Source organism: Homo sapiens, chromosome 1 (assembly GCF_000001405.40).
Source record: "Homo sapiens chromosome 1, GRCh38.p14 Primary Assembly".
In the NCBI taxonomy this organism is placed as follows: Eukaryota; Metazoa; Chordata; class Mammalia; order Primates; family Hominidae; genus Homo; species Homo sapiens.
Window position 1 is genome coordinate 22,013,784 of NC_000001.11, and position 24,761 is coordinate 22,038,544.

General features: G+C 47.3%; 2 long non-coding RNA genes across 7 annotated transcripts, besides 7 other annotated features; one reads left to right on the top strand and one right to left on the bottom strand.

Moving 5' to 3' along the window:
• Nucleotides 5,173–5,262: an enhancer, noted in NCBI's record as "active region_345". NCBI's record gives its function as "activates an Ori minimal core promoter by ATAC-STARR-seq in GM12878 lymphoblastoid cells {active_cell/tissue: GM12878}" and the evidence as "EXISTENCE:reporter gene assay evidence [ECO:0000049][PMID:35858748]".
• Nucleotides 5,463–5,522: a silencer, noted in NCBI's record as "silent region_392". NCBI's record gives its function as "represses an Ori minimal core promoter by ATAC-STARR-seq in GM12878 lymphoblastoid cells {active_cell/tissue: GM12878}" and the evidence as "EXISTENCE:reporter gene assay evidence [ECO:0000049][PMID:35858748]".
• Nucleotides 9,137–9,256: a silencer, noted in NCBI's record as "silent region_393". NCBI's record gives its function as "represses an Ori minimal core promoter by ATAC-STARR-seq in GM12878 lymphoblastoid cells {active_cell/tissue: GM12878}" and the evidence as "EXISTENCE:reporter gene assay evidence [ECO:0000049][PMID:35858748]".
• On the bottom strand, nucleotides 10,211–12,265 carry LINC01635 (long intergenic non-protein coding RNA 1635). The gene is made up of 3 exons (NR_110692.1): nucleotides 12,181–12,265; nucleotides 11,023–11,183; nucleotides 10,211–10,662 (listed from the first exon to the last, which is right to left on the bottom strand). It is a non-coding gene; the product is annotated as a long intergenic non-protein coding RNA 1635 (long non-coding RNA).
• LINC00339 (long intergenic non-protein coding RNA 339) lies at nucleotides 11,408–17,441 on the top strand. 6 transcript variants are annotated; one of them, NR_109762.1, is made up of 3 exons: nucleotides 11,721–11,860; nucleotides 13,631–13,751; nucleotides 16,497–17,441. It is a non-coding gene; the product is annotated as a long intergenic non-protein coding RNA 339 (long non-coding RNA). The 6 variants fall into 6 exon arrangements; NR_109761.1 differs by having other exon boundaries at nucleotides 11,721–11,856; NR_023918.2 differs by lacking the exons at nucleotides 11,721–11,860; nucleotides 13,631–13,751 and adding an exon at nucleotides 11,408–11,589.
• Nucleotides 11,693–12,294: an enhancer, noted in NCBI's record as "H3K27ac hESC enhancer chr1:22351969-22352570 (GRCh37/hg19 assembly coordinates)". NCBI's record gives its function as "activates a minimal SCP1, AML or CMV promoter by ChIP-STARR-seq in primed H9 embryonic stem cells {active_cell/tissue: H9 hESC(primed)}" and the evidence as "EXISTENCE:reporter gene assay evidence [ECO:0000049][PMID:30033119]".
• Nucleotides 11,693–12,387: a biological region, named in NCBI's record as "Sharpr-MPRA regulatory region 3950".
• Nucleotides 11,906–12,015: an enhancer, noted in NCBI's record as "active region_346". NCBI's record gives its function as "activates an Ori minimal core promoter by ATAC-STARR-seq in GM12878 lymphoblastoid cells {active_cell/tissue: GM12878}" and the evidence as "EXISTENCE:reporter gene assay evidence [ECO:0000049][PMID:35858748]".
• Nucleotides 12,093–12,387: an enhancer, noted in NCBI's record as "tiled region #3950; K562 Activating DNase matched - State 1:Tss". NCBI's record gives its function as "activates a minimal TATA promoter and a strong SV40 promoter by Sharpr-MPRA in K562 cells {active_cell/tissue: K562}" and the evidence as "EXISTENCE:reporter gene assay evidence [ECO:0000049][PMID:27701403]".

Below are 24,761 nucleotides of genomic sequence, written 5' to 3' on the forward strand. Positions count from 1 at the left end.
CATAAAACAAGGGAGTCTGGCTGGGCCTGGTGGTTCATACTTGTAATCCCAGCACTTTGGGAGGCCAGGGTGGGTGGATCACTTGAGCCCACGAGTTTGAGACCAGCCTGGGAAACATGGTAAAACCCCATCTCTACAAAAAACATAAAAATTAGCCAGGTGTGGTGGTGGGTACTTGTAGTCCCAGCTACTCGGAAGACTGAGGTGGAAGAATCACTTGAGTCCAGGAGGCAGAAGCTGCAGTGAGCTGAGACTGTGACACTGTACTCCAGCCTGGGCACAGAGCAAGACTCTGTCTGAAAAAAAAAAAAAAAAAAAATTCAACGGAATCTCTTTCCTCATATTTCTCTTTGAACACCATGAAAGGGAAGATTGTCCCAGCAAGGACACACACAAATGACTTTGATATTAATGGCCCATTTGTAGCCTCCCTTTATACTTTCAGCTACAACTGAAAAAGATGCAACATAGAGAATAATATAGCAGAGACTCAGATAGGTATCCTCCCTTCAGAATTAACAAATTTCACATTTTGCTTCATATTCTAAAAAATATTAATTACAATCATTCACTAAAAAAAATCAAGAGATCTATAATTTTTTAGATCCAGCCTGTCACCCAGGCTGGAGGGCAGTGGCACAATCCTGGCTCGCTGCAACCTCCGCCTCCCAGGTTCAAGCGATTCTCCTGCCTCAGCCTTCCGAGTAGCTGGGACTACAGTCACCCACCACCATGCCTGGCTTATTTTTTTTGTTTTTGAGTTGGAGTCTCGCTCTGTCGCCCAGGCTGGAGTATAATGGTGTAATCTCAGCTCACTGCAACCTCTGCCTCCCGGGTTCAAGCGATTCTCCTGCCTCAGCCTCCCAAGCAGCTGGGACTACAGGCGCACGCCACCACGCTCAGCTAATTTTTGTATTTTTAGTAGAGATGAGGTTTCTCCATGTTGCCCACGCTGGTCTCGAACTCCTGGCCTCAAGTGATCACCCGCCTTGGTCTCCCAAAGTGCTGGGATTACAGGCGTGAGCCATTGTACCTGGCCAGGGTCTATAAATTTGGAAAGGGGATTTTATATCTTATAAAGGGTTACAGCCTGCATGGTGGCCATGCTGACAGGCTGGGAAGTGTAGCCTCCTGCAAAGAGGAGAAACAGGCACTCCAAAGGAGGAGGGATTGGAGTGGAAGCTTGAAGCTGAAAGAGTTGGCTAAACATACATATTCAACAGGTTATAGAAGGAGCTGTGGGCTGGGCGCAGTGGCTCATGCCTGTCATCCCAGCACTTTGGGAGGCTGAGGTGGGTGGATCACTTGAGGTCAGGAGATCGTGACCAGCCTGGCCAACATAGTGAAACCCTGTCTCTACTAAAAAATACAAAAATTAGGCAGATGTGGTGGCGGGTGCCTGTAATCCCAGCTACTCGGGAGGCTGAGGCAGGAGAATTGCTTGAACCTGGGAGGTAGATGTTGCAATGAGCTGAGATCGTGCCATTGCACTCCAGCCTGGGTGACAAGAGCAAAACTCCGTTTCAAAAAAAAAAGGAGCTGTAAATATTAACAAAGGGGGTCCTGACACATGTGTACTGAACAAACGTATGTTACATGTGTCCCATGTTCACTGTGGGGTGGAGACTTGACATTTAAATGCATTACTGCTGGGCATGGTGGCATGTGCCTATAGTCCCCGCTACTCAGGAGGTGGAGACAGGAGGGTAGCTTGAAGCTAGGAGTTCAAGGCTGCAGTGCACTATGATCGCACCTGTGAATAGCCACTGCACTACAGCCTGGACAACATAGTGAGACCCCACCTCTTTAAGCATGAAAACAAGACCCTGTGCATCAAAAGGTGAAGCAGGAACATGAAGGTACTCAAGTGCAGCTTCTGTAAACCAGACAGAACCAGTCCATGCTCTGTGGTCTTCTTATCAGGAGAAAGTTACTGAAATCTGTGTCCTTACCAATCAAAGCTGGAGTTATGGCTTTGGAGCAGGAGCAGGGGGTCTGTTAGGGTCTGGTGGTGGATGAGCTGCAGTTGTTTTAATATTATTGATCTCAAGGCCAGTGCTTGTTGAGCTGCTAGAGAAAAGGAAAAATCTCAGGCAGCTGGGAACGGTGGCTCATGACTATAATCCCAGCACTTTGGGAGGCTAGGGTAGGAGGACTGGAGGACTGCTTGAACCCAGGGGTTTGAGACCAGCCTGGGCAACATGGCAAAACCCCATCTTAGCTGGGTGGGGTGGCACATGCCTGTAGTCCCAGCTACTTGGGAGGCAGAGGTGGGAAGATCACTTGAGCCCGAGAGGTTGAGGCTGCAGTGAGCTGTGATTGCACCACTGTACCACTCCAGCCTGGGTGACAGATTGAGACCTTGTCTCCAAAAAAAGAAACAAAGAAAGAAAAATCTTGTGGCAGTTAGAACATAGCTTATTTTTTTAAGTGTAGGGGTCTTAACCCTTATCTGGCATGACCTTAGCTCTTGTTATAATTTGGTATCTTACTGCCACTGAGAATCTGTTCTGTCAGTTGTAAGATCTCTATTTTAACATTAATTTTTTTTTGCGGGGGTTGGGGACGGAGTCTCACTCTGTCACCCAGGCTGGAGTGCAATGCCGCGATCTCGGCTCACTGCAACCTCTGCCTCCTGGGTTCAAGTGATTCCCCTGCCTCAGCTTCCTGTGTAGCTGGGATTACAGGCATGGGCCACCATGCCCGGCTAATTTTTTGTATTTTTAGCAGAGATTGGGTTTTGCCATGTTGTCCAGGTTGGTCTCAAACTGCTGACCTCAGGTGATCCGCCCACCTTGGCCTCCCAAAGTGCTGGAATTACAGGCATAAGCCACAGCGCCCGGCCTAATTTTTAACATTAATGCTGGTCAGTTGTGTCTACACCACCAAAAGGAAGTCTAATGAGGTGTGCCTGACTCCCATCCTGTCATGGCTGGGAACTCAAATTTTAAGATTTCTCTGGGGTCCTCTTGGCCAAGAGGAGGCCCATTCAGTGGTTGAGAGGGCTTAGGATTTTATTTCCAGTTTTCACAGTTAAGGTGGAAGCACCTTTGTATTCTTCCCAAAAGTCATCACCATGATGGACAGAGGGTTTTTATCCATCAATTACTGCTTTTGCTTTTGGGCACATAATAGGATACCTCTTTCTTGCCCCCTTAAAGTTAGGTTTGGGCCAGGCACAGTGGCTCACACCTATAATCCCAGCACTTTGGGAGGCCGAGGTGGGAGGATCACTTAAGCCTGGGCGTTCAAGACCAGCCTGGGAGTTCAAGGCCAGCCTGGGCAACATAGAGAGATGCCGTCTCTACAAAAAGTAAAAAATTTGCCAGGCATGGTGGCACATGCCTGTAGTCCCAGCTACTTGTGAGGCTGAGGGTAGGAGGATCGCTTGAGCCAAGGACATTGAGGATTGAGTGAGCCGTGATAATGCCACTGCACTCCAGCCTGAGTGACAGAGGGAGACTCTGTCTTAAAGAAAATAATAATAATAATACATCTATCACCTTGGCTGGATGGGATGGCTCATGCCTGTAATGCCAACACTTTGGAGGCCAACGCAGGAGGATTGCTTGAGCCCAGGAGTTTGATACCAGCTTGGACAACATAATGAGACTTCGTCTCCACTAAAAATAAAATAAAATAATTAGCTAGGCATGGTGGCATCTGACTGTAGTCCCAGCTACTCGGGAGGCTATAGTGGGAGAATTGTTTCAGCCTGGGAGGTTGAGGCTTCAGTGAGTGGTGCTCACATACTGTACTCCAACCTGGGTGACCGTGAGACCCTGTCTATCTGGGGAAAAAAAAAAAAAAGTTGGGTCTGGCCATTAGGCTTGCCAAGGTGAAATATTGAGAGACAAAGCAATTTGTCAGGCTCTCGTTCTCTCTGCTGTGACATCTGGTTGTTGCTGGTCAGCCTGGTCCCAGAGTGAGATGTGAACTGGAGGCTCTGCTAACCCCTGATGGACATGTAGCCCAACCATGAAATAAACTCTGTTATAAGCCACTAAGACTGGGTGTTATTTATCACAGAGGCATGGACCTAACCTATCCTAACTGATAATATGAGTTTGGTGTTTGTCCTTCTATTCTGTGCTGTTATGTTTTTATCATATATATAAATATCCAAAACCAATATATTGCATTGTTTTGGTTTTTAAAAATACATGCACAGCTTCATGCTGTATGGACTGTCCTGCAAATTGCTTCTTTCACTCAATGTTGTGGGTTTTTTTTTTTTTTTTTTTTTTTTTTTTTTTGAGATGGAGTCTCATTCTGTCACCCAGGCCAGAATGCAGTGGTGCCACCTCGGCTCACTGCAACTTCCATCTCCCGGGTTCCAGTGATTCTCCTGGCTCAGCCTCCTGAGTAGCTGGTACTACAGGTGCCCACCACCATGCCCGGCTAATATATATATATATATATATATATATATATATATATATATATATGCACACACACATATATATATATATATATTTAGTAGAGATGGGGTTTCACCATGTTGGCCAGGGTGGTCTCGAATGCCTGACCTCAAGTGATCTGCCTGCTTCAGCCTCCAAAAGTGCTGGGATTATAGGCATGAGCCACCCCGCCTGGCCTTAATGTTGTGTTTTTGAGGTCTATCTCTAGTTCGTTGCTGCTGTTTGTAGCATATCCCATTGCCTAAATTTTTATTATTCTTTATTCCTTCCTCATGGATATTTAAAGCAGAGCTAATTTTTTGTGATTGTGAACAGTGCTTCAGTGGATGTCCTTGGACATGTCTCCTGGTGCACATGTAGGAGAGTTTCTCTAGGGTATATTCCAAGAAATGGACATGCTGACTGGGAGGACATGCTCATTTTCAACTTTACCAATTGCCAAATTGCTCTCCAAAGTGATTGTATCAACAATACTCCTTCAAATTCTCTTTTTTTTTTCTTTTCCCATCCACTGCCCCTACACGTTACAAACTGGCCCCATTTTTCTCCTAAACCACTTCTGGCATCTCAGCCGTCCCCTACAACTCTCTTCCCATCCTTACTCTCACTCCAGCTCTTTTTTTTTTGAGACGGAGTCTCACTCTGTCTCCTAGGCTGGAGTGCAGTGGCGCAATCACGGCTCACTGCAACCTCCACCTCCTGGGTTCAAGTGATTCTCCTGCCTCAGCCTCCCAACTAGCTGAGATTACAAGCACACGCCACTATGCCTGGCTAATTTTTTTGTATTTTTAGTAGAGACGGGATTTCACCATGTTCTCCAGGCTAGTCTTGAACTCCTGACCTCAGGTGATCTGCCTGCAAGCTCCAGGTCTTGCAAAGCCTGAGAACTGGTATGGCAAGGGCAGAGTGAGAGCAGGGAAGAAATGGAGTCAAGCTGAACAGAGACTTCCGCATCATGAGGGTGGTGGGAGGTGGGGAGGAAGTTCTGAAACCACACACATTTATCATTGTTATTGAGTCAGACAGACAGTGCCTGCTGACATGTAACTGTCAGGCGTTGCCAAGGCACAGTAGGGTTGCAAAGGCTGAGTGTCCACTTCCTCCCAATGAGTCAGGAAGAACCCTTGGATAATTCTCCAAAATAGTTTCAGAGTAAAGGGCAGTGGGATATATGTAATTTCATAATGTGGCTGGCCAGCGGGCCCCCAAGGGACCTCTACCCATCCTCAGAGGGAGGCTGGGAGCTGTGATGACCCAGTTCTCTCCACACATGGGCAGCAGAGAGTCAGGGAATCTTGCCTAAAACTGCCAGCATTCAATTTTCCTTTGTTCAAATCTCCAAGTCTTATCAATTCAAGTCTTTTAAAACCCATATAGTCAATAACTTAATTCTTTGAATAATGATTAGAATGTCAAGGCCAATAATTTTTTGCTTTTGATTTCTAAATCATGAAAAGCCAGCAATGCATTTTTCAAGAAGGCACAATGTCAATACTTCAATTCCTTTTTTTTTTGAGACGGAGTCTCACTCTGTCACCCAGGCTGGAGTGCAGTGGTGCAATCTTGGCTCACTGCAACCTCCACCTCCCAGGTTCAAGCGATTCTCCTGCCTCAGCTTCCTGAGTAGCTGGGATTACAGGCCCACCACCACGCCTGGCTAATTTTTGTATTTTTAGTAGAGACGGGGTTTCACCATGTTGGCCAGGCTGGTCTTGAATACCTGACCTTGTGATCTGCCCTCCTCAGCCTCCCAAAGTGCTGGGATTACAGGCATGAGCCACCCCGCCTGGCTGGTTTGTAGAATTCTTTATATATTCTGGACATAGGTCAGATGATTGAGATCAAATGTGAATCTGGGCTGGGCGCAATGGCTTGCATCTGTAATCCTAGCACTTTGGGAGGCCGAGGCAAGTGGATCACTTGAGGTCAGGAGTTCAAGACCAGCCTGGCCAACAGGGTGAAACCCTGTCTCTACTAAAAATTTAAAAATTAGCTGGGTGTAGTGGCACTTACCTGTAGTCTCAGTTACTCAGGAGGTTGAGGCAGGAGAATTGCTTGAACCTGAGAGGTGGAGGTTGCAGTGAGCCAAGATCATGCCACTGCACTCCAGCCTGGGACACAGAGCAAGACTCTCTGTCAAAAAAAAAAAAAAAAAAAAAGGTGAGGCCGGGCGCAGTGGCTCATGCCTGTAATCCCAGCACTTTGGGAGGCCGAGGTGGGCAGGTCACCTGAGGTCGGGAGTTTGAGACCAGCCTGACCAACATAGAGAAACCCCATCTCTACTAAAAATACAAAATTAGCTGGGCGTGGTGGCAAATGCCTGTAATCCCAGCTACTAGGGAGGCTGACGCAGGAGAATCACTTGAACCTGGGAGGTGGAGGTTGCAGTGAGCCGAGATCACACCATTGCACTCCAGCCTGGGCAACAAGAGCAAAACTCCGTCTCAAAAAAAAAAAAAAAAAAAAAAAAGGTGAATCTGTCAAACTTTCTTTTGTCAATTAACATCAAAGACGTAGTGCTATCCCAGCACTTTGGGAGGCTGAATTAGCTGGGCGTGGTGGTGGATGCCTGTAATCCCTGCTACTCTGGAGGCTGAGGCAGGAGAATTGCTTGAACTAGGAAGGTAGAGGTTGCAGTGAGTCAAAATCACGCCACTGCACTCCAGCCTGGGCCAAAGAGCGAGACTGTCTCAAAGAAAAAAAAAAAAAAAGACAGTGCTGAGAAATCTTGTTCTCTGCCTGGCCAACATGGTGAAACCTCATCTCTACTAAAATACAAAAATTTGCTGGGTGTGGTGGCGGGCACCTGTAATCCCAGCTACTCAGGAGGCTGAGGCAGGATAATTGCTTGAACCCAGAAGACGGAGGTTGCAGTAAGCCGAGATCGCACCATTGCACTCCAGCCTGGGCGACAAGAGTGAAACTCCACCTAAAAAAAAAAAAAAAAAAAAAAAAAAAAGGAATCTCATTCTCTAAAATCAGAGACTGTCAGAAACTTTGCTGTTTGAAATCACATCAGTGAGAGCAGAACATCCCACGCTTCTCTAGTGGGTCAGAAGAGCCAGGTTTGATACAGAGACATAGCCTGTATCTACCCAGATGCAGAGCTTCAGATAAAGGGTTTTTGGACACAATAGTCTATATTTGTCTTACCTTTGTGGTGTCCAAGGAAACAAGACTCTGAGTCTGATTCTCAGCCCACGCCAGATGTTAACCCCTTTACACATTGCCAGCTTTGCTTTGCACCTATCAACACGGCTTCATTTCAATTTCACCTAAACTCCAACCTCCTCCAAATCCTATGATAATCCCATTTCTTCTTTTGTTTGGTGAGACCCTCCACAGTTTCTCTGGTGTGTTGTCTCTCTTGCTACATCAAGTTAATAAGCCTAATTTTGTTAAACTACAGCTACATCCCTAGTGGTCTTTTTCAGATTGGATTTGTCATAAAATTCAGGCTTTCTCTTTTCTTTTTTTGCTTTTGAGATGGAGTCTCACTCTGTTGCCCAGGCTGGAGTGCAGTGGTACAATCTTGGCTCACTGCAATCTCTGCCTCCCCGGTTCAAGCAATTCTTCTGCTTCAGCCTCCCAAGTGGCTGGGGTCACAGGCATGCACCACCACACCCAGCTAATTTTCTATTCTTAGTAGAGATGGGTTTTCACCATGTTGCTTAGGCTGGTCTTGAACTCCTGACCTCAGGTGATCCACCCGCCTCAGCCTTCCAAAGTACTGGGATTACAGGCGTAAGCCACCATGCCCAGACCTTTTTTTTTTTTTTTTTTGAGACTGAGTTTTGTTCTATCCGCCCAGGCTGGAGTGCAGTGGCTCAATCACAGTTCACTGCAGCCTCAATCTACTGGGCTAAAGTGATCCTCCCACTTCAGCCTCCCAAGTAGCTGGGACCACAGATGTGCACCACCACACCAGGCTGATTTTTAAAAAATTTCTGTAGAGATGGGTCTCACTATGTTGCCTTGGTTGGTCTCAAACTCCTGGGCTCAAGGGATCCTCCTGCTTCAGCCTCCAAAAGTGTTGGGATTACAGGTGTGAGCCACCACGCCCAGCTGCTCTGTTCCTTTACTCACTCATTGATCCATTCATTCAGTGTTTGTCCAGCCTATGCTCAGTTTGTTGTTGTTGTTCGTTTTTTTTGAGATGGAGTTTCACTCTTGTCGCCCAGGCTGGAGTGCAATGGCGTGATCTCAGCTCACTGCAACCTCCGCCTCCCAGGTTCAAGCAATTCTCCTGCCTCAGCCTCCTGAGTAGCTGGGATTACAGGCGCCTGCCACCATGCCTAGCTAATTTTTGTATTTGTAGTAGAGACGGGGTTTCACCATGTTAGCCAGGCTGGTCTCGAACTCCTGACCTCAGGTGATCCGCCTGCCTCGGCCTCCCAAAGTGCTGGGATTATAGGCGTGAGCCACTGCGCCTGGCTCCTATGCTCAGTTTTTGTTTTTTTGTTTTTTTTTTTTTTTTTGAGACAGAGTCTTGCTCTGTCGCCCAGGCTGGAGTGCAGTGGCGTGACCTCAGCTCACTGCAAACTCCGCCTCCCGGGTTCACGCCATTCTCCTGTCTCAGCCTCCCGAGTAGCTGGGACTACAGGCACTCGCCACCACGCCCGTCTAATTTTTTTGTATTTTTGGTAGAGATGAAGTTTCACCGTGTTAGCCAGGATGGTCTCGATCTCCTGACCTTGTGATCCGCCCATCTCGGCCTGCCAAAGTGCTGGGATTACAGGTGTGAGCCACCGTGCCCGGCCTATGCTCAGTTTTAAGTACTGGGGTCATGGTGGTGACAGGGCAGACAAAGTCCTTAGCTTTGTGGACACTGCCTCTAGTGGATGAGATAGAAAATAACTAGGTAATCACAAAAACAAAGTAACAGGTTATAAAGGAATTGGAAGGGTGCCCGGGGTCGGGGGATAGAGGAGGTGGGCAGAAAAGGAGACGCTACAGTTGAACTGGAACCTGGGTGAACAGATCTCAGGAAAGAGCACTGCAAGCAGAGATCAGCAAAAGAAGTGAAGATGAGGCCGGGTGCGATGGCTCACGCCTGTAATCCCAGCACTTTGGGAAGCCGAGGTGGGTGGATCGCTTGAGGTCAGGAGTTCGAGACCAGCCTGGGGAACATGGCAAAACCCTGTCTCTACTAAAAATACAAAAATTAGCTGGACAGGGTGGTGCAAGTCTGTAATCTGAACTACTTGGGAGGCTAAGGCAAGAGAATCACTTCAACCCAGGAGGTGGAAGTTGCAGTGAGCTGAGATCATGCCACTGCATTCCAGCCTGGGTGACAGAATGAGACTCTGCCTCAAAAAAAGGCTGGGCGTGGTGGCTCACACCTGTAATCCCAGCACTTTGGGAGGCTGAGGTGGGCGGATCACCTGAGGTCAGGAGTTCGAGACCAGCCTGGCCAATATGGCGAAACCCCGTCTCTACTAAAAGTACAAAAAATTAGCCGGGTGTGGTGGCTCGTGCCTGTAATCCCAGTTACTCGGGAGGCTGAGGCAGGAGAATCGCTTGAATCCGGGAGGCAGAGGTTGCAGTGAGTCGAGATCACACCATTGCACTCCAGCTTAGACAACAAGAGCGAAACTCCGTCTCAAAAAAAAAAAAAAAAAAAAAAAAGAAGTGAAGATGAGCTTGTCAGATTGTCAGATTTGCAAAATAGCCAGAAGGTCAGTGTTCTTGGAGCAAACTGAGTGAGCAGGAGGGTGGGGAAAGATGAAGCACAAAGGCTGAATTTTACCTGGGATGATAAAATAATCTTACACAAGCCGAAACGTATATACTTTCACATAAATTTATGTGCCTATGAAATTGGAGTTGCTCTGGGACTCAAGCGGCATCCTTGCCCCAACCCCTGCTGTTTTCTGAAGCATTCCTAAGGAACCTTAGAGTGTGGGAGAGAGAAATAGCAGGAAGTCCTTAACCTAGTCCAACCCTTTTATTTTACAGTTAGGGAAACCTAAGCTGAGAGAGGAGATGGAAACCTGGTTGTAGGAGTGAGTGGGGAAGGGTTCACGGTCATTCTGGTAGGTAGGGGTAGGGCCAGAGCAAGGAGTCCTGGTTTGTGAACCACCAGCTGGCCGTCTAGGAGTTTACAGACCAGCAGTGGCAATGTTGACAAAGGGCATATCTTCCTTTCCCCAAGAACATTGGCTCTGGAGCAATAACCCAGCAATGGGGGCTTTGGGGTGTCCCTCTTAATCCGGTAGCTCAGCCCATTCGGATATGCCAGCTGGAAAGAGAGAGGGAGAAGTCAACTGAGTACCTCTCTCTAACAGCTCAATCCCTCCCCTTCAGGGTTAAGATCGGGGCTGCAGTGGTTAGCATCTCTGCTTCCTCTAGCCGGCTGTGTCATTGAACCTGTGTGATCAGACGCAAACCAGATCAGTATGACTTCAAAGCTTCATCTTTGAGATGGAGTCTTGCTCCCTCGTCCGGGCTGGAGTGCAATGGCGCAATCTCGGCTCACTGCAACCTCCGCCTCCCGGGTTCAAGCAATTCTCCTGTCTCAGTCTCCCGAGCAGCTGGGACTATAGGCGCCTGCCAGCACGCCCGGCTAATTTTTGTATTTTTAGTAAAGACTGAGTTTCACCTTGTTGGTCAAGCTGGTCTCGAACTCGTGACCTCAGGTGATCCACACGCCTCTGCCTCCTAAAGTGCTGGGATTACAGGCGTGAGCCACCGCGCACGGCTAAAGCTTCAGTTCTTAACCATCAGGCGACAGTGCGTAGTCTGGTAGCAACTGGAAAAGTCCTGCTGAGATTTAGCCTCCCATACACACAGAGTCCCACCCCGGACAGGCTGTATCAACCCCCCACGGCCATATGCCCACTGCTGTTTGCGTACAATGAGGCGGGACCTATAGACTGTATCCACTGACTCATCTGGAGTGATTCCGCGGGGCGCCAATACAAGGACCACTGTCTCCAAACAGCAGCCAGCCACCCCTCTCTCTTGGTTTCCTTCCTTTGAGTGGTGCAAAGGCTTAAGGGTGTAACCTCAGAATGGGGCCCTGAATCAGCTGTGGGCGAGCTCCTAGAGTATCTTAATTCCTGCTTCATCTCTTTCCATTTTGCAGTTGGGCAAACTGCGGCTCAGAAAGATAAAGAACTTCTCCGGAGCGAAAAAGCTGCTAAGAATGTATCCAAAACTCCGCACGGTAAGGACTGAGGACGGTCAAAAGACCACCAAGAGTTAAAACCATGAAGCTGCGTAGTACCGCGGAGGCTAGAGAGACCCGGCCCACCCCTTCCAACCTATGCCCCTCCTCTTAACTTCCGGGCGGGGCATGACTTCCGGTTCCCGCGCGGCGCTCCAAAGCTCGGGGAGTGGTGGTCTCCCTTTCCTGGAGTCATTTGTGGGAGTTAGGGTCTTATCCTGATCTTTCCTCGTCCCCCGCTCCCCCGTCCTCCGAGGTGGCAGCTGCGTAGGTGAACGTTCCCCCTGTCCCCTTCCTTCTCCTTCCTAACCCGAGTACGCTTGCTCGCGGCCACAGTGGCTGCCTGCCCCAGGAGCGGGGAGTCCCTGCCTTTGGGGTAGGGAAATGACTGAAATGTGGGACCTGCGGGCTCCTCGGGCTGACTTGGACCTCACTGCAGCTCTGGAGGTGGACCTCGTCCTGGGACCCTAGAAGCCCATTTCCGCACTCGGGCTAGGCCTTCGGAGCCGCGGCAGCATAGTGGGAGGAGTCGGGCTCAGCTCCCCCCCACCACAACCGGGATTATTTTTATCGGTTGAGTCATCGCACTACCTTTCATCCTTGTGGCTTTGGGCAAGTCCCCGCCCTCCGAGCCTCACTTTGCTTATCTGTGAATGGAAATAACAGTGCCTACCCCATGGGCTATCGGGAGGATCAGTTGTGAGGGAATGCAGTGTGGGGTGTCTGGCCGGCAGAATTCCACAAATGGTAGCAGCGGTTGATGTCACTGGAGGTTCCTGGGGCAGTAATTTATCAAGAGTTTATGATCCTGAACTAAGGATCATACGGAGGAGGATCTGTGTATAACGTTCGGCACAATGTTAGATAGGAAGTAAGGGCGCAGTGCACTGGAGTTATTTTTTCTTTTTTTTTTTTTTGAGACGGAGTCTCGCTCTGTCGCCCAGGCCGGAGTTGCAGTGCCGCGTTGTCGCCTCACTGCAACCTTCTCTGCCACATGGGTTCAAGCGATTCTCCTGCCTCAGCCACTCGAGTAACTGGGATTACAGTCGCACATCACCACGCCTGGCTAATGTTTTGCATTTTTAATAGAGACGGTTTCACCATGTTGGCCAGCCTGGTCTTGAACTCCTGATCTCAGGTGATCCACCCGCCTCGGCCTTCCAAAGTGCTAGAAGTATAGGCATGAGCCACTGTGCCTGGCCTGGAGTTATTTTTTCTCACTGGGTTTTTGAGCAAAGAAAAGGAGTTATTAACTGGTGAGGATAAATTTGTGTTTGGTAAGTCGTCTTCTGAAGCTGACAGGATTTATAAGCCGGGTAAATTGTGGTGCTGGTTCATCTTTGAGAGCCAGCCTTAAGAATTGGCCCACTGACTGCTGGGCGTGGTGGCTCACATCTGTAATCCCAGCACTTTGGGAGGCCGAAGCGGGTGGATCACCCGAAGTCAGGAGTTCGAGACCAGCCTGGTCAACATGGTGAAACCCCATCTCTACTAAAAACATAAAAATTAGCCAGGTATGGTGGTGGGCACCTGTAATCCCAGTTACTCGGGAGGCTGAGGCAGAGAATTGCTTGAACCCAGAAGGAGGAAAGGTTGCAGTGAACCGAGATCACACTACTGCACTCCAGCCTGAGCGACAGAGTGAGACTTGTCTCAAAAAAAAAAAAAAGGAAAGAAAAAGGCCCACTGACAGTCTGTTCCTAGAAACCTGGGTTGTAAAGACGTTGGGTGCTGGGAGCTAGAAGAAGTAATAAAAGGGTGTTTTCCTAAGTGGGTTAGGGGTTTTCACTCAGAAAGGTTTTTGGGCAGGAGGGGAAAGCCTGAGAAGTTTTCTTCCTCTTGAGTTGTTATAAAAGTAATACATGTGTGTAGTTAGAAAACAATGCAGAAAGATGTAAAATGAAAAGTGTTTCCCCCTTCTACTGTTTCTGCCCTTCAGAAGTAAATACAATTAATTTCTTTGATAACTTTCTATCTATTATTTGGATATATCAGGTTTTATTTATTTGTATCTGTATTTATGTATTTTTAATTTCCTCAGATCGGGGGTCATACTACACATCGATCGGGACCTTAGTCATGTTGTGATATGGACAGCTTTCTTACCAGTACTCATAAGCCTGCTTCATTTTTTACGTGGCGGCACCACTGAGTGGTTGACGGTACTTCAGTCATTTCCCTGTTGATGGTCACTTAGGTTGTTCCCAAGATTTTGCTTTCCCACAGTGTTTCACCCAACCTTTCTTGGACGAAATATTTTAGTCCAACTCACCCTAAGTGATTCTGCTTTTCCCTATTCACCACCCTAGGTTAGTAACAGCTTACTTTGGGGGATGAGCACACCTTATTAACTGAGCAAAAACCAAGATAATGTGAGAAGAATTGGTGTACTCCCAAGAATATCCAAGGTGCTGGGTCTAGAATCAATTAAAGTCTCCTAAGAAATGGGTCAGGGAACCTTTAGAGAAGGGATGACTAGGTGCTGGGTGCACGGCAGCTAGTCAGCGTTAGTGATTGTTGGCTTCTGTCAATTGTTGCTCAGGAAACAGATTTGAGAGATTCTCTGAGGTGGGAAGGATTTTAAATGTCAGCTCTCCTGCTATGTATTATATGTCTGGAAGGGATTAGTTCTTTGAGGGAAGAGAGTATTAAAGAAAACAATGGGCCGGGCACGGTGGCTCACACCTGTAATCCCAGCACTTTGGGAGGCCGAGGCAAGGGCGGTGGATCATGAGGTCAGGAGATCGAGACCATCCTGGCTAACATGGTGAAACCTCATTTCTACTAAAAATACAAAAAAAAATTAGCTGGGCCTGGTGGCACGTGCCGTAGTCCCAGCTACTCAGGAGGCTGAGGCAGGAGGATTGCTTGAACCTGGGAGGCAGAGGTTGCAGTGAGCCGAGATTGTGCCTGGGCAACAGAGCAAGACTCCGTCTCAAAAAAAAAAAAAAAAAAAAGAAAATGATGATCCTTGAAAAGTGACTGCATCATGGGGCTGTATCCTAATGTGAGAATTAATTTAGTCATTTCTGTTATTTGAACTCTCTTGTTTTAAAGTTAATTAACATAGGATGTGTTTTCCTGTAAATAACTCCTCTTTTGAACTGGGGCCCTAGCCCAAATGAAGCAAAGGCTTTTTTTCTGGCATTTTACAGGTATTTAATTTGCCTCCCGCCCCGCCGCCCCCCACGGCTATAGCTGGTTTGATAATCCTGGAGCTCTCAAATATCCAAAGAGTTGGAAGTGTACTCTATTAGGATTTTGACAAGTCCCATACACTGATCAGAGGTGCTTCATTCTTGATCTTAACCTGGGTTCTTTTTTTTTTTTTTTTGGAGACAAGGACTCTGTTGCCCAGGCTGGAGTGCAGTGGCGTGATCACAGCTCACTGCAGCCTCTACCTCCCAGTAGCTGGGACTACAGCCATGTGCCACCACACCCAGATAATTTTTTTTTTGTAGAGACAGGGTTTTGCCATGTTACCCAGGCTGGTCTCGAATTCCTGGGCTCAAGTGAGCCACCTTTTTTTTTTTTTTTTTTGAGATGGAGTTTTGCTCTTGTTGTCCAGGCTGGAGTGCAGTGGCACGATCTCAGCTCACAGCAACCTCTGCCTCCTGGGTTCAAGCGATTCTCCTACCTCAGCCTCCCGAGTAGCTGGGATTACAGGCACGCGCCACCATGCTCAGCTAATTTTTGTAATTTTAGTAGAGACGGGGTTTCTCCATGTTGGTCAGGCTGGTCTCGAACGCCTGACCTCAGTTGATCCGCCCGCCTTGGCCTCCCAAAGTGCTGGGATTACAGGCGTGAGCCACCATGCCTGGCCATAATTTTTGTATTTTTAGTAGAGATGGGGTTTCACCATATTGGCCAGGCTGGTCTTGAACTCCTGACCTCAGTTGATCCACCCACCTTGGCCTCCCAAAGTGCTGGGATTACAGGCGTGAGCTACTTCACCTGGCTTTCTTTTTCTTTTTCTTTTTTTTAAGAGCTCTCGCTGTGTTGCTCAGGCTGGAGTGCAGTGGCTATTCACAGGTGCAATCATAGTGCACTGCTCCTTTGAAGTACTTGTTAATGTTTGCTATTCTTTAATCATGATGAAAGAGATGGAGGGAGGTGGAAAGTCAGTAGATTAGATATAAATGAACTGACCTTATTCTCCTCTTTTAGCTCCTCTTCATAAATTGCTTTGTAGACATAACAAATGTTATATAAAAATAGTTGGAGGGGCTGGGTGTGGTGGCTCATGCCTGTAATCCCAGCACTTTGGGACACTGATGGGGGCAGATTACGAGGTCAGGAGTTCGAGACCAGCCTGACCAACCTGGTGAAAGCCTATCTCTATGAAAAATACAAAATTTAGCTGGAGGTGGTGGCACGTGTCTGTAATCCCAGCCACTCAGGAGGCTGAGGCAGGAGAATTGCTTGAACCTGGGAGGCAGAGGTTGCGGTGAGCCGAGATCATGCCATTGCACTCCAGCCTGAATGACGGCAAGACGCTGTCTCCAAAAAAGAAACAAAAATGGTTGGAGGAAGCAAACACCCATGATTTTAAAGCCCTCTCCCAAGCAAATCATGTGCATATGCAATTCTTGTTTCAACATAATGTAAAACACTTCATAGTGAGAGACAAAATGAATGCACGATTCTCTAGCAAGGCCAGTATTCTTCAATCAGCTTTGAGAACCTACATTTCTTATTTTGGTAAACTACTGTCATGTTTCCTCAATTGTGTTAATTGATCTACCAGGAAGAAGACAAAAATGAGTTTCTAGTACCTTTATTAAGAAACCCTGTTAAGATTGGAAGGCTGATGGAACCTGGGTCTGGACCAGATCCGTGAGATCAGAGTGGTTTAACAGCTTTTATGGTCTGTTTTTGCTGATTCTTACTTTTCTGTTTGTGCCTAGAAGTCTGGAACGTTTTTTCTTAGAGTTCCAGAATTGAGACTGAAGTGTACCCAGAGACACAAAGAAATACAGAAGTCCAGAATGATCAAATGAGATCACTACCCAATGAAATGATGGGCCGAGGAGCCAGAAGTTGTCCTACTACCTGCTTTCCAGGTCCAGATTCCACGAGAGCCTTCTGGGCTCCCACCAGAGACCCTCAGTGAAGACTCTGTTGAAGACTTTAAGACCATGCTAGAAAGCCTCCCGGCAGAGGTTCAGGAAGTTCTGCTATGAGGATGCAGCTGGCCCCAGGGATGTCCTCAGGCATCTCTAGGACCTTGCTGGACGGTGGTGGCTGAGACCTGATATCCACACAAAGGAGCAGACTGTGGAAATGCTGGTGCAGGAGCAATTCCAGGCTGTCCTGCCCGAGGAGCTCAGAGCTCAAGCACAGAGATGTCAGCCTGGAATCAGAATCACTGGCTAAGTCTTGCTGCTTGCTTCTTGCTCAGCCTGCATATGAGAAGTCAACCAAGCATTCTCTTGGATGCAAGATCCAACTGCACCCATGGGAAATCTGAACTTCCACTTTCTTTGAGCTTGTCTTTGGTTGTAATAAGAATCCATCAAAACCCATGTCTGGATCTCTCTTTGGCTGAGGCAGCTTTATTTCCTACAGAAAGAGTTTCTCTGTCCTCTTGTTAGGACAATCAGCCTGCTGCTTTGGGCTTTTCCAAGAGCCTATTTTTCATCTGCTGGATGCCTCTTTTTTTTTTTTTTTTTTTTTTTGCACTGTGTGACATGCTTTAATATATATATTTTTTATGTATCCAAAGAGGTAATCAACTTTAACTTTCAGAATTCATGAATCTTGGTTTGGTGGCATGAATGAAAGGTTATGTAACCCCACCAGTAACTCATTTGGGGTGCCCTTGAAATATTAAAGTTTGGTCCTCAATAAATATGTGCTGTGGTGATTAATCAGGTTAGCGCTTAGTAGTCAGCAATTGGAGACAGGTGAGATAATTATCAGGTGTAGATGAGAGCTAGCGATAAGAACTATGGCTGTGGTGTTTATTGTGCTGGGAAATAGGAACAGTCCTGGCCTTTGTATTCAAAGTCAAGATTTAGATTGGACAGAACTGAGAAAGGGGTCAAACGGTCATAAGAGGTAAGTAACCTGTACACAGAGCTGTTTGATTGGCTGTTTCACCATGTCCATCACCTTTGTTCTATAGCTTGCCTTTCTGCAAGAGAACTTACTGTAAAGCTCCCCAACACTACTGTGTTTTGCTTTTTCTGCAACAGAGGTCATCCTTGTTTTTCTGTGTGTGGAGACCTGTTCTGTGGCTGACAGCTGACATAGAGCAGTAGCTGTGTCTGTGACAGGCAGGGTAAACAGCAGCTGCCTTCCCGGCACAACCCAGTTCGGAGGAACCTGTCTGCCTCTGTGGTCTGGCTCCGGGACTTGTAGCTCTGCTCCTTCTCTAACAAACTTGGTGCCACTTCAGAAACAGCCTTTGGTATAGGGAGTGGTCAGCTGCATGCTGGAACTCTTGTTGATTCTGCTAGGGTTTGTTGAGTACTTCCTGTGCCTCCGACTCTTCTAGAATGGAAATGTAAAACCCACTTTTAAGGAAGTGTGTCATTTTTGAAGAGAGGAAAAAGCATTAAAAATACATTGTTAGAAATGTTGGCCGGGTGCAGTGGCTCACTCCTGTAATCCCAGCGCTTTGGGAGGCCGAGGCGGGTGGATCAAGAGGTCAGGAGATCGAGACCATCCTGGTTAACATGGTGAAACCCCACCTCTACTAAAAATACAAAAAATTAGCCAGGCGCCGTGGTGGGCCCCTGTAGTCCCAGCTACTCGGGAGGCTGAGGCAGGAGAATGGCGTGAACCTGGGAAGCGGAGCTTGCAGTGAGCCGAGATCGCGCCACTGTACTCTGCCTGGGCGACAGAGTGAAACTCTGTCTCAAAAAAAAAAAAAATGTTGGAGTAAAACCAGCCTTGCTTTTGGTATCTCGTTTGAAATAGCACCAAGATAAAATATTTTTTAATTTAAAAAAAATTACAGGCTGGGCGCAGTGGCTTACACCTGTAATCCCAGCACTTTGGGAGGCTGAGGCGGGCGGATCACGATGTCAGGAGATTGAGACCATCCTGGTTAACACGGTGAAACCCCGTCTCTACTAAAAATACAAAAAAATTAGCCAGGCGCCTGTAGTCTCAGCTACTCAGGAGGCTGAGGCAGGAGAATGGCGTGAACCTGGGAGGCAGAGCTTGCAGTTAGCCGAGATCGCACCACAGCATTCCAGCCTGGGCGACAGAGCAAGACTCCGTCTTAAAAAAAAAAAAAATTATAAGCAGAGGAGAGAGGACAGTCAAAGTGGAGAAGTGACATTTTAATGGAATTCTGGAAGGGAAGTAGGAGATCATTGGACAGAAGGCAAAAGCATGGGAATGCAATCGTATGTAGTGTTCAGGGAATAGTGACCGTAAGATTAGTTAATTATGCTTTCTGGTAACTAAGATAAGCTTTTCTTTTCTTTTTTTGAGACGAAGTCTCATACTGTCACCTGGGCTGGAGTGCAAAGGCATGATCTCGGCTCACTGCAACCTCTGCCTCCAGGGTTCACATGATTCTCCTGCCTCAGCCTCCCAAGTAGCTGAGATTACAGGCATCCACCACCACACCTGGCTAATTTTTTGTATTTTTAGTAGAGACGGGATGTTGGCCAGACTGGTCTCTGATCTCGTGATCTGCCTGCTTTGGCCTCCCAAAGCTTATACGTGTGAACCACCGTGCCCGGCCACTGTAAGGTAAGGTTTTCTATCCTTAATTTGAATAGTAAAATGTAACATTGGCAAAGGAGTTAGTATCACTGATAGGGTTGTAGTATTTTGAATCATTCTGAAGATACTTCCTTTAGTCTGCAGGGATCTGGAACTCCTGGCATTCAGGAATTTCCTGGCCTCCATCAATTTCTCAGCTGCTTCAGTGATCTAGGATTTGGTCTGCAAGTAAAGGACCTGGCTTTACAGGTGGACTCACAGATTTTATGACACAACAGCTGAGGTTTCTTTCTTTCTTTTTTTTTTGAGACAGAGTCTTGCTCTGTTGCCCAGGCTGCAGTGCAGTGGCGCCATCTTGGCTCACTGCAACCTCTGCCTCCCAGGTTCAAGCAGTTCTCCTGCCTCAGCCTCCTGAGTAGCTGGGATTACAGGCACATGCCACCACACCTGGCTAATTTTTGTATTTTTAGTAGAGACGGGATTTCCCCATGTTGGCCAGGTTGGTCTCGAACTCCTGACCTCAAGTGATCCTCCCACCTCGGCCTCCCAAAGTGCTAGGATTACAGGTGTGAGCCACGGTGCCTGGCCTCTTTTCTTTTCTTTTTTTTTTTGAGACGGAGTTTTGCTTTTGTCACCCAGGCTGGAGTGCAATGGCACGATCTCAGCTCACTGCAACCTCTGCCTCCTGATTCAAGCGATTCTCCTGCCTCAGCTTCCCAAGCAGCTGGGATTACAGGCGTGCCACCACGCCCAGTGAATTTTTGTATGTTTAGTAGAGACAAGATTTCACCATATTGACCAGGCTGGTCTTGAACTCCTGACCTCAAGTGATCCGCCTGCCTTGGCTTCCCAAAGTGCTGGGATTACAGGCATGAGCCACCGAGGCGAGCTTTTTTTTTTTTTTTTTGAGACGGGGTCTCACTTGGTCACTGAAGCTGGAGTTGAGTGGTAGGATCACGGCTCACTGCAGCCTTGACCTCCTGGGCTCTGGCGATCTTCCTACCTCAGCCTCACAAGTAGCTAGGACTACAGTTGTGTGCTACCACACCCAGCTAATTTTTAAATTTTTTTGGTAGAGACAGGGCCTTGCTATGTTGCTCAGACTGTTCTCGAACTCCTGTGCTCAAATGATCCTCCTACTTCAGCCTCCCAAAGTGCTGGGATTATAGGCACGAGCCACCCCGCCTGGTCAGCTGAGGTTTCTTGAATTGAGTGACCCTAGCACAGAATTCCTCAGCCTTGGCACTATTGGCATTTTGGGCCAGATAACTCTGTTGTAGGGGCGTGCCCTGTGCATTGCAGGATGCTTAGCAGCATCCCCAACCTCCACCTGCCAGATGCCAGTAGCACCTGTCTGGATGTAACAACCAAAAATGTTTCTGGACATTGTCAAATGTCCTGGGGGTGGGGGTGAGGGTGTACGCAAAATTGCCCCTGGTCGAGAACCACTGATTATGTAGGAGAGTTCATCATGGCCATTTGAGGGGGTCATGGAACTCAGCCCTCCAATCCCTGGCCTCAGGCTTAACGTTGAACTGAGAATGCTGTAGGAAGAGTGGGATATATAATAAATTAGTCTTCAAATCCCCATTATATGGCTGGGCGCGGTGGCTCATGCTTGTCATCCCAGCACTTTGGGAGGCCAAGGTGGGTGGATCACTTTAGGTCAGGAGTTCCAGACCAGCCTGGCCAACATGGTGAAACCCCGTCTCTACTAAAAATATAAAAATTAGCCAGGCATTGTGGCGCATGCCTGTAGTCCCAGCTACTCGGGAGGCTGAGGCAGAAGAATTGCTTGAACCAGGGAGGTGGAGGTTGCAGTGAGCAGAGATCACGCCACTGCACTCCTGCTTAAGTGACAGAGTGAGACTCCATCTCAAAAAAAAAAAAAAAATTCCTATTATGTGCTTGAGTAATACCACCCACTCTGGCAAATCTTAAAAAAGCTCTTGGCCGGGTGCAGTGGCTCATGCCTGTAATCCCAGCACTTTTGGAGGCCAAGGTGGGCGGATCACTGGAGGTTGGGATTTCCAGGCCAGCCTGACCAACATGGAGAAACCTCGTCTCTACTAAAAATACAACATTGGCTGGGCATGGTGGCATATGCCTGTAATGCCAGCTACTCGGGAGGCTGAGGCAAGAGAATTGCTTGAACCTGGGAGGCAGAGGTTGCTGTGAGCTTTGATTGTGCCATTGCACTCCAGCCTGGGCAACAAGAGCGAAACTCCATCTCAAAAAAAAAAAAAAAAAAAAAGCAGCTCTTTGATGTGAAGACTAAATGCTATACCTCCCAATCGTCAACCTGTAGAACATTCAGTTGGGATGGTTTACTGTGTGCCAAAGTCTGCACTGATGCATCTATGATTCATTGAATCCTAACAGTCATGTGAGGTAAATAGTAAATCTACCTATTTTACAGAGGAGAAGTCTGAGGTCCAGCAGTTAAGCAATAATGGCTAATAAGTGTGGAGCTAGGATCTGAGCCTTAGATGTCTATCCAAGGCGTGGGCCTTCATCCCTCATGTATGGAAATGTTAATTTAACATTTGAGAATCTCCTGTATGCACAGTGTTTCTTCTTTTGCTATTTATTTATTTATTTTGGAGACAGAGTCTTGCTCTGTCTTCCAGGCTGGAGTGCAGTGGTGCAATCTCGGCTCAGTACAACCTCCGCCTCCCGGGTTTAAGCGATTCTCCTGCCTCAGCCTCCTGAGTAGCTGGGACTACAGGCACCTGCCACCATGCCCGGCTAATTTTTGTATTTTTTAGTAGAGACGGGGTTTCACCAATTTGGCCAGGCTGGTCTCGAACTCCTGACCTTGTGATCCGCCCACCTCAGCCTCCCAAAGTGCTGGGATTACAGGCGTGAACCACCGTGCTTGGCCCTTCTTTTGCTTTTTAAAAATCTCTATTTTACAATTTAAAATAACATTTCTTAGATTCATTTGATACAGAAAAAGTATGAAAAAAAATGGTTCATAATCTCACTGCCCAGGTAATTCCTATTGACTTTTTTTTAAGAGCCTGGGTCTCATTCTTAGCTGGGACTACAAGTGTGAGCCACCACACCTGTCCTGCAAGTATTTCTTTTACCTTTAAAAAATGTCAGTAGAGGCCGGGTGCAGTGGCTCACGCCTGTAATCCCAGCACTTTGGGAGGCCAAGGCAGGCGGATCACGATGTCAGGAGATTGAGACCATCCTGGCTAACACTGTGAAACCCCGTCTCTACTAAAAATACAAAAAAAATTAGCCCGGTTTGGTGGCGGGCGCCTGTAGTCCCAGCTACTTGGGAGACTGAGGCAGGAGAATGGCGTGAACCCGGGAGGCGGAGCTTGCAGTGAGCGGAGATCATGCCACTGCACTCCAGCCTGGGTGACAGAGTGAGACTGTCGCAAAACAAAATGTCAGTAGAGGCCATGCCTGTAATCCCAGCAGTTTGGGAGGCCAGAATGGGAGGATCACTTGAGGCCAGGAGTGCACGACCAGCCTGAGCAACATAGCAAGACCTGTCTCTACAAAAAAATTAGCTGGGTGTGGTGGTGTATGCCTGTAGTTCCCAGCTTCTCAGGAGGCTGAGGCGGGAGGATCCTTTGAGCCCAGGAGGTCAAGGCTGCAGTGAGCTGTGATTGTGCCATTGCACTCCAACTTAGGTGGCTGAGTGAGACCCTGTCTCAAAAAAAGAATATACATATATACATTTACATATTTATATATAAATTTAAATGTTTAGTTTATATAAATGTATATATATGTAATATATATAAAAATATATATTTGCATATGGATAGAAAAGTCCAGGAGAATAGAAGGATATAAAAAGAAAACTTAAAGGCCCTCTTCTCATTATTAACAGTTTCTTATGTATCCTTCCAGAAAATACAAATTATATATATGTGAGCAGAAAATACAAATTATGTGAGCAGATACACATATATATTCCTTTAGAAGTTACATAAAAATATGCATGTTTAGTGCATATTTTTTCATTACTCAATAAGTCTTAGAGGCCTTTTGCTATCAACATACAGAGATTTACTTTATTTAAAAAATTGGTTGGGTGTGGTGGCTCATGCCTGTAATCTCAGCACTTTGGGGGGACAAAGCAGGTGGATCACTTGAGGCCAGGAGTTTGAGACCAGCCTGGCCAACATGGTGAAATCCTGTCTCCTGAAAATACAAAGATTAGCTGGGCGTGGTTTTGGATGCCTGTAATCCCAGCTACTCGGGTGGCTGAGGCCCAAGAATCCCTTGAACCTCGGAAGCAGAGGTTGCAGTGAGCCGAGATCACACCACCACACTCCAGCCTAGGCAACAGTGCAAGACTGTCTCAAAAAAAAAAAAAAAAGTAAAAAAAATTTTTTTGGCAGCTGTATGGCTGTACTTGGCCTTTTACTTTCCAGCAAGAAGTGTAAGGTAGAGGATTTAGGTATGGACTCAAACCACTGAGGCACAAGTGAGGTTTAGAGAGGTAACTGACAGAGCCAGGGCTCAACTTTCACGTTCTGAAACCAGCTTTGGTTCCCAACAACCCCGTGGTACCAGTTCTTTGTTATGGAAATGAATTTACAGATTAGATTGTCCCAAAGAAACCTAGTAAGTGGAGAAGCTACAGTTCATCTCTCGTTTCATCTGGCCCTAGCCTCACGCCTTGCCACAAGGTCATACTACCTGAATGTCAAAGAATAGAGCAGCTCCACTGTTTGAAGGGCTCTGTGAGGATTCGGGAATAGAGGAGTTCCCCATTTCTGTCGCCACACCTCTGAGATGGTGCCTGTGTCTGTCATTGTTTCTTGAATCAATCTAGACCTCAGTTCTAAAGAACCCTAAAAACTCTGTCCGTGAATCTTGGGGGAAGGAGGAAGTCAATGTAAAATACTTCCATATTGTATTTCTAAGATGTCTATTTCCCCTTTGTGATTATTTTGACTGCAAGTTCCACAAGATAATACTTTCATCTAGTTATTGAAAAGTGCTCCTGCGAGATGGCTGCTGGGAAAAACCAGTGTTAGGACCACAAGGTAATATGAGATCCCTAGCAACTGGCTTGTGCCATGGAAAAACATGTCATCTGTTGGGCAGCTACTCCCTGAGCAGTGAGTGGGTGCCAGGCCCTGGCTGCCAGAGAGGAGGCCAGCTCCAGTGGGTGTGGGGGCCACGAGGAGTCGACTGTGGTAGTGATGGTGGTGGCTGCAGAATTCAAGTGCAGCTGGTCCTCCCAGAGCATCACGTGGGGTCAGTTTCCCTAGACAGCTCAGTACAATGCGCTTGACAATGACTTGACTCTTTTGCTAAGCATTCTCTTTCCACCCACTGCTACGCATGTATTAGACAATTGGACATTTTCCCTCAGCCTGGAATGCCCCTCCCTGAATCTTTGCCAGCCTACTCCTGTTTGTTCGTTCTTTCTTTATTTATTTATTTATTTTGAGACAGGATCTCATTCCTGTTACCCAAGCTCGAGTGCAGTGGTCTTGACTTCCCAGGCTCAG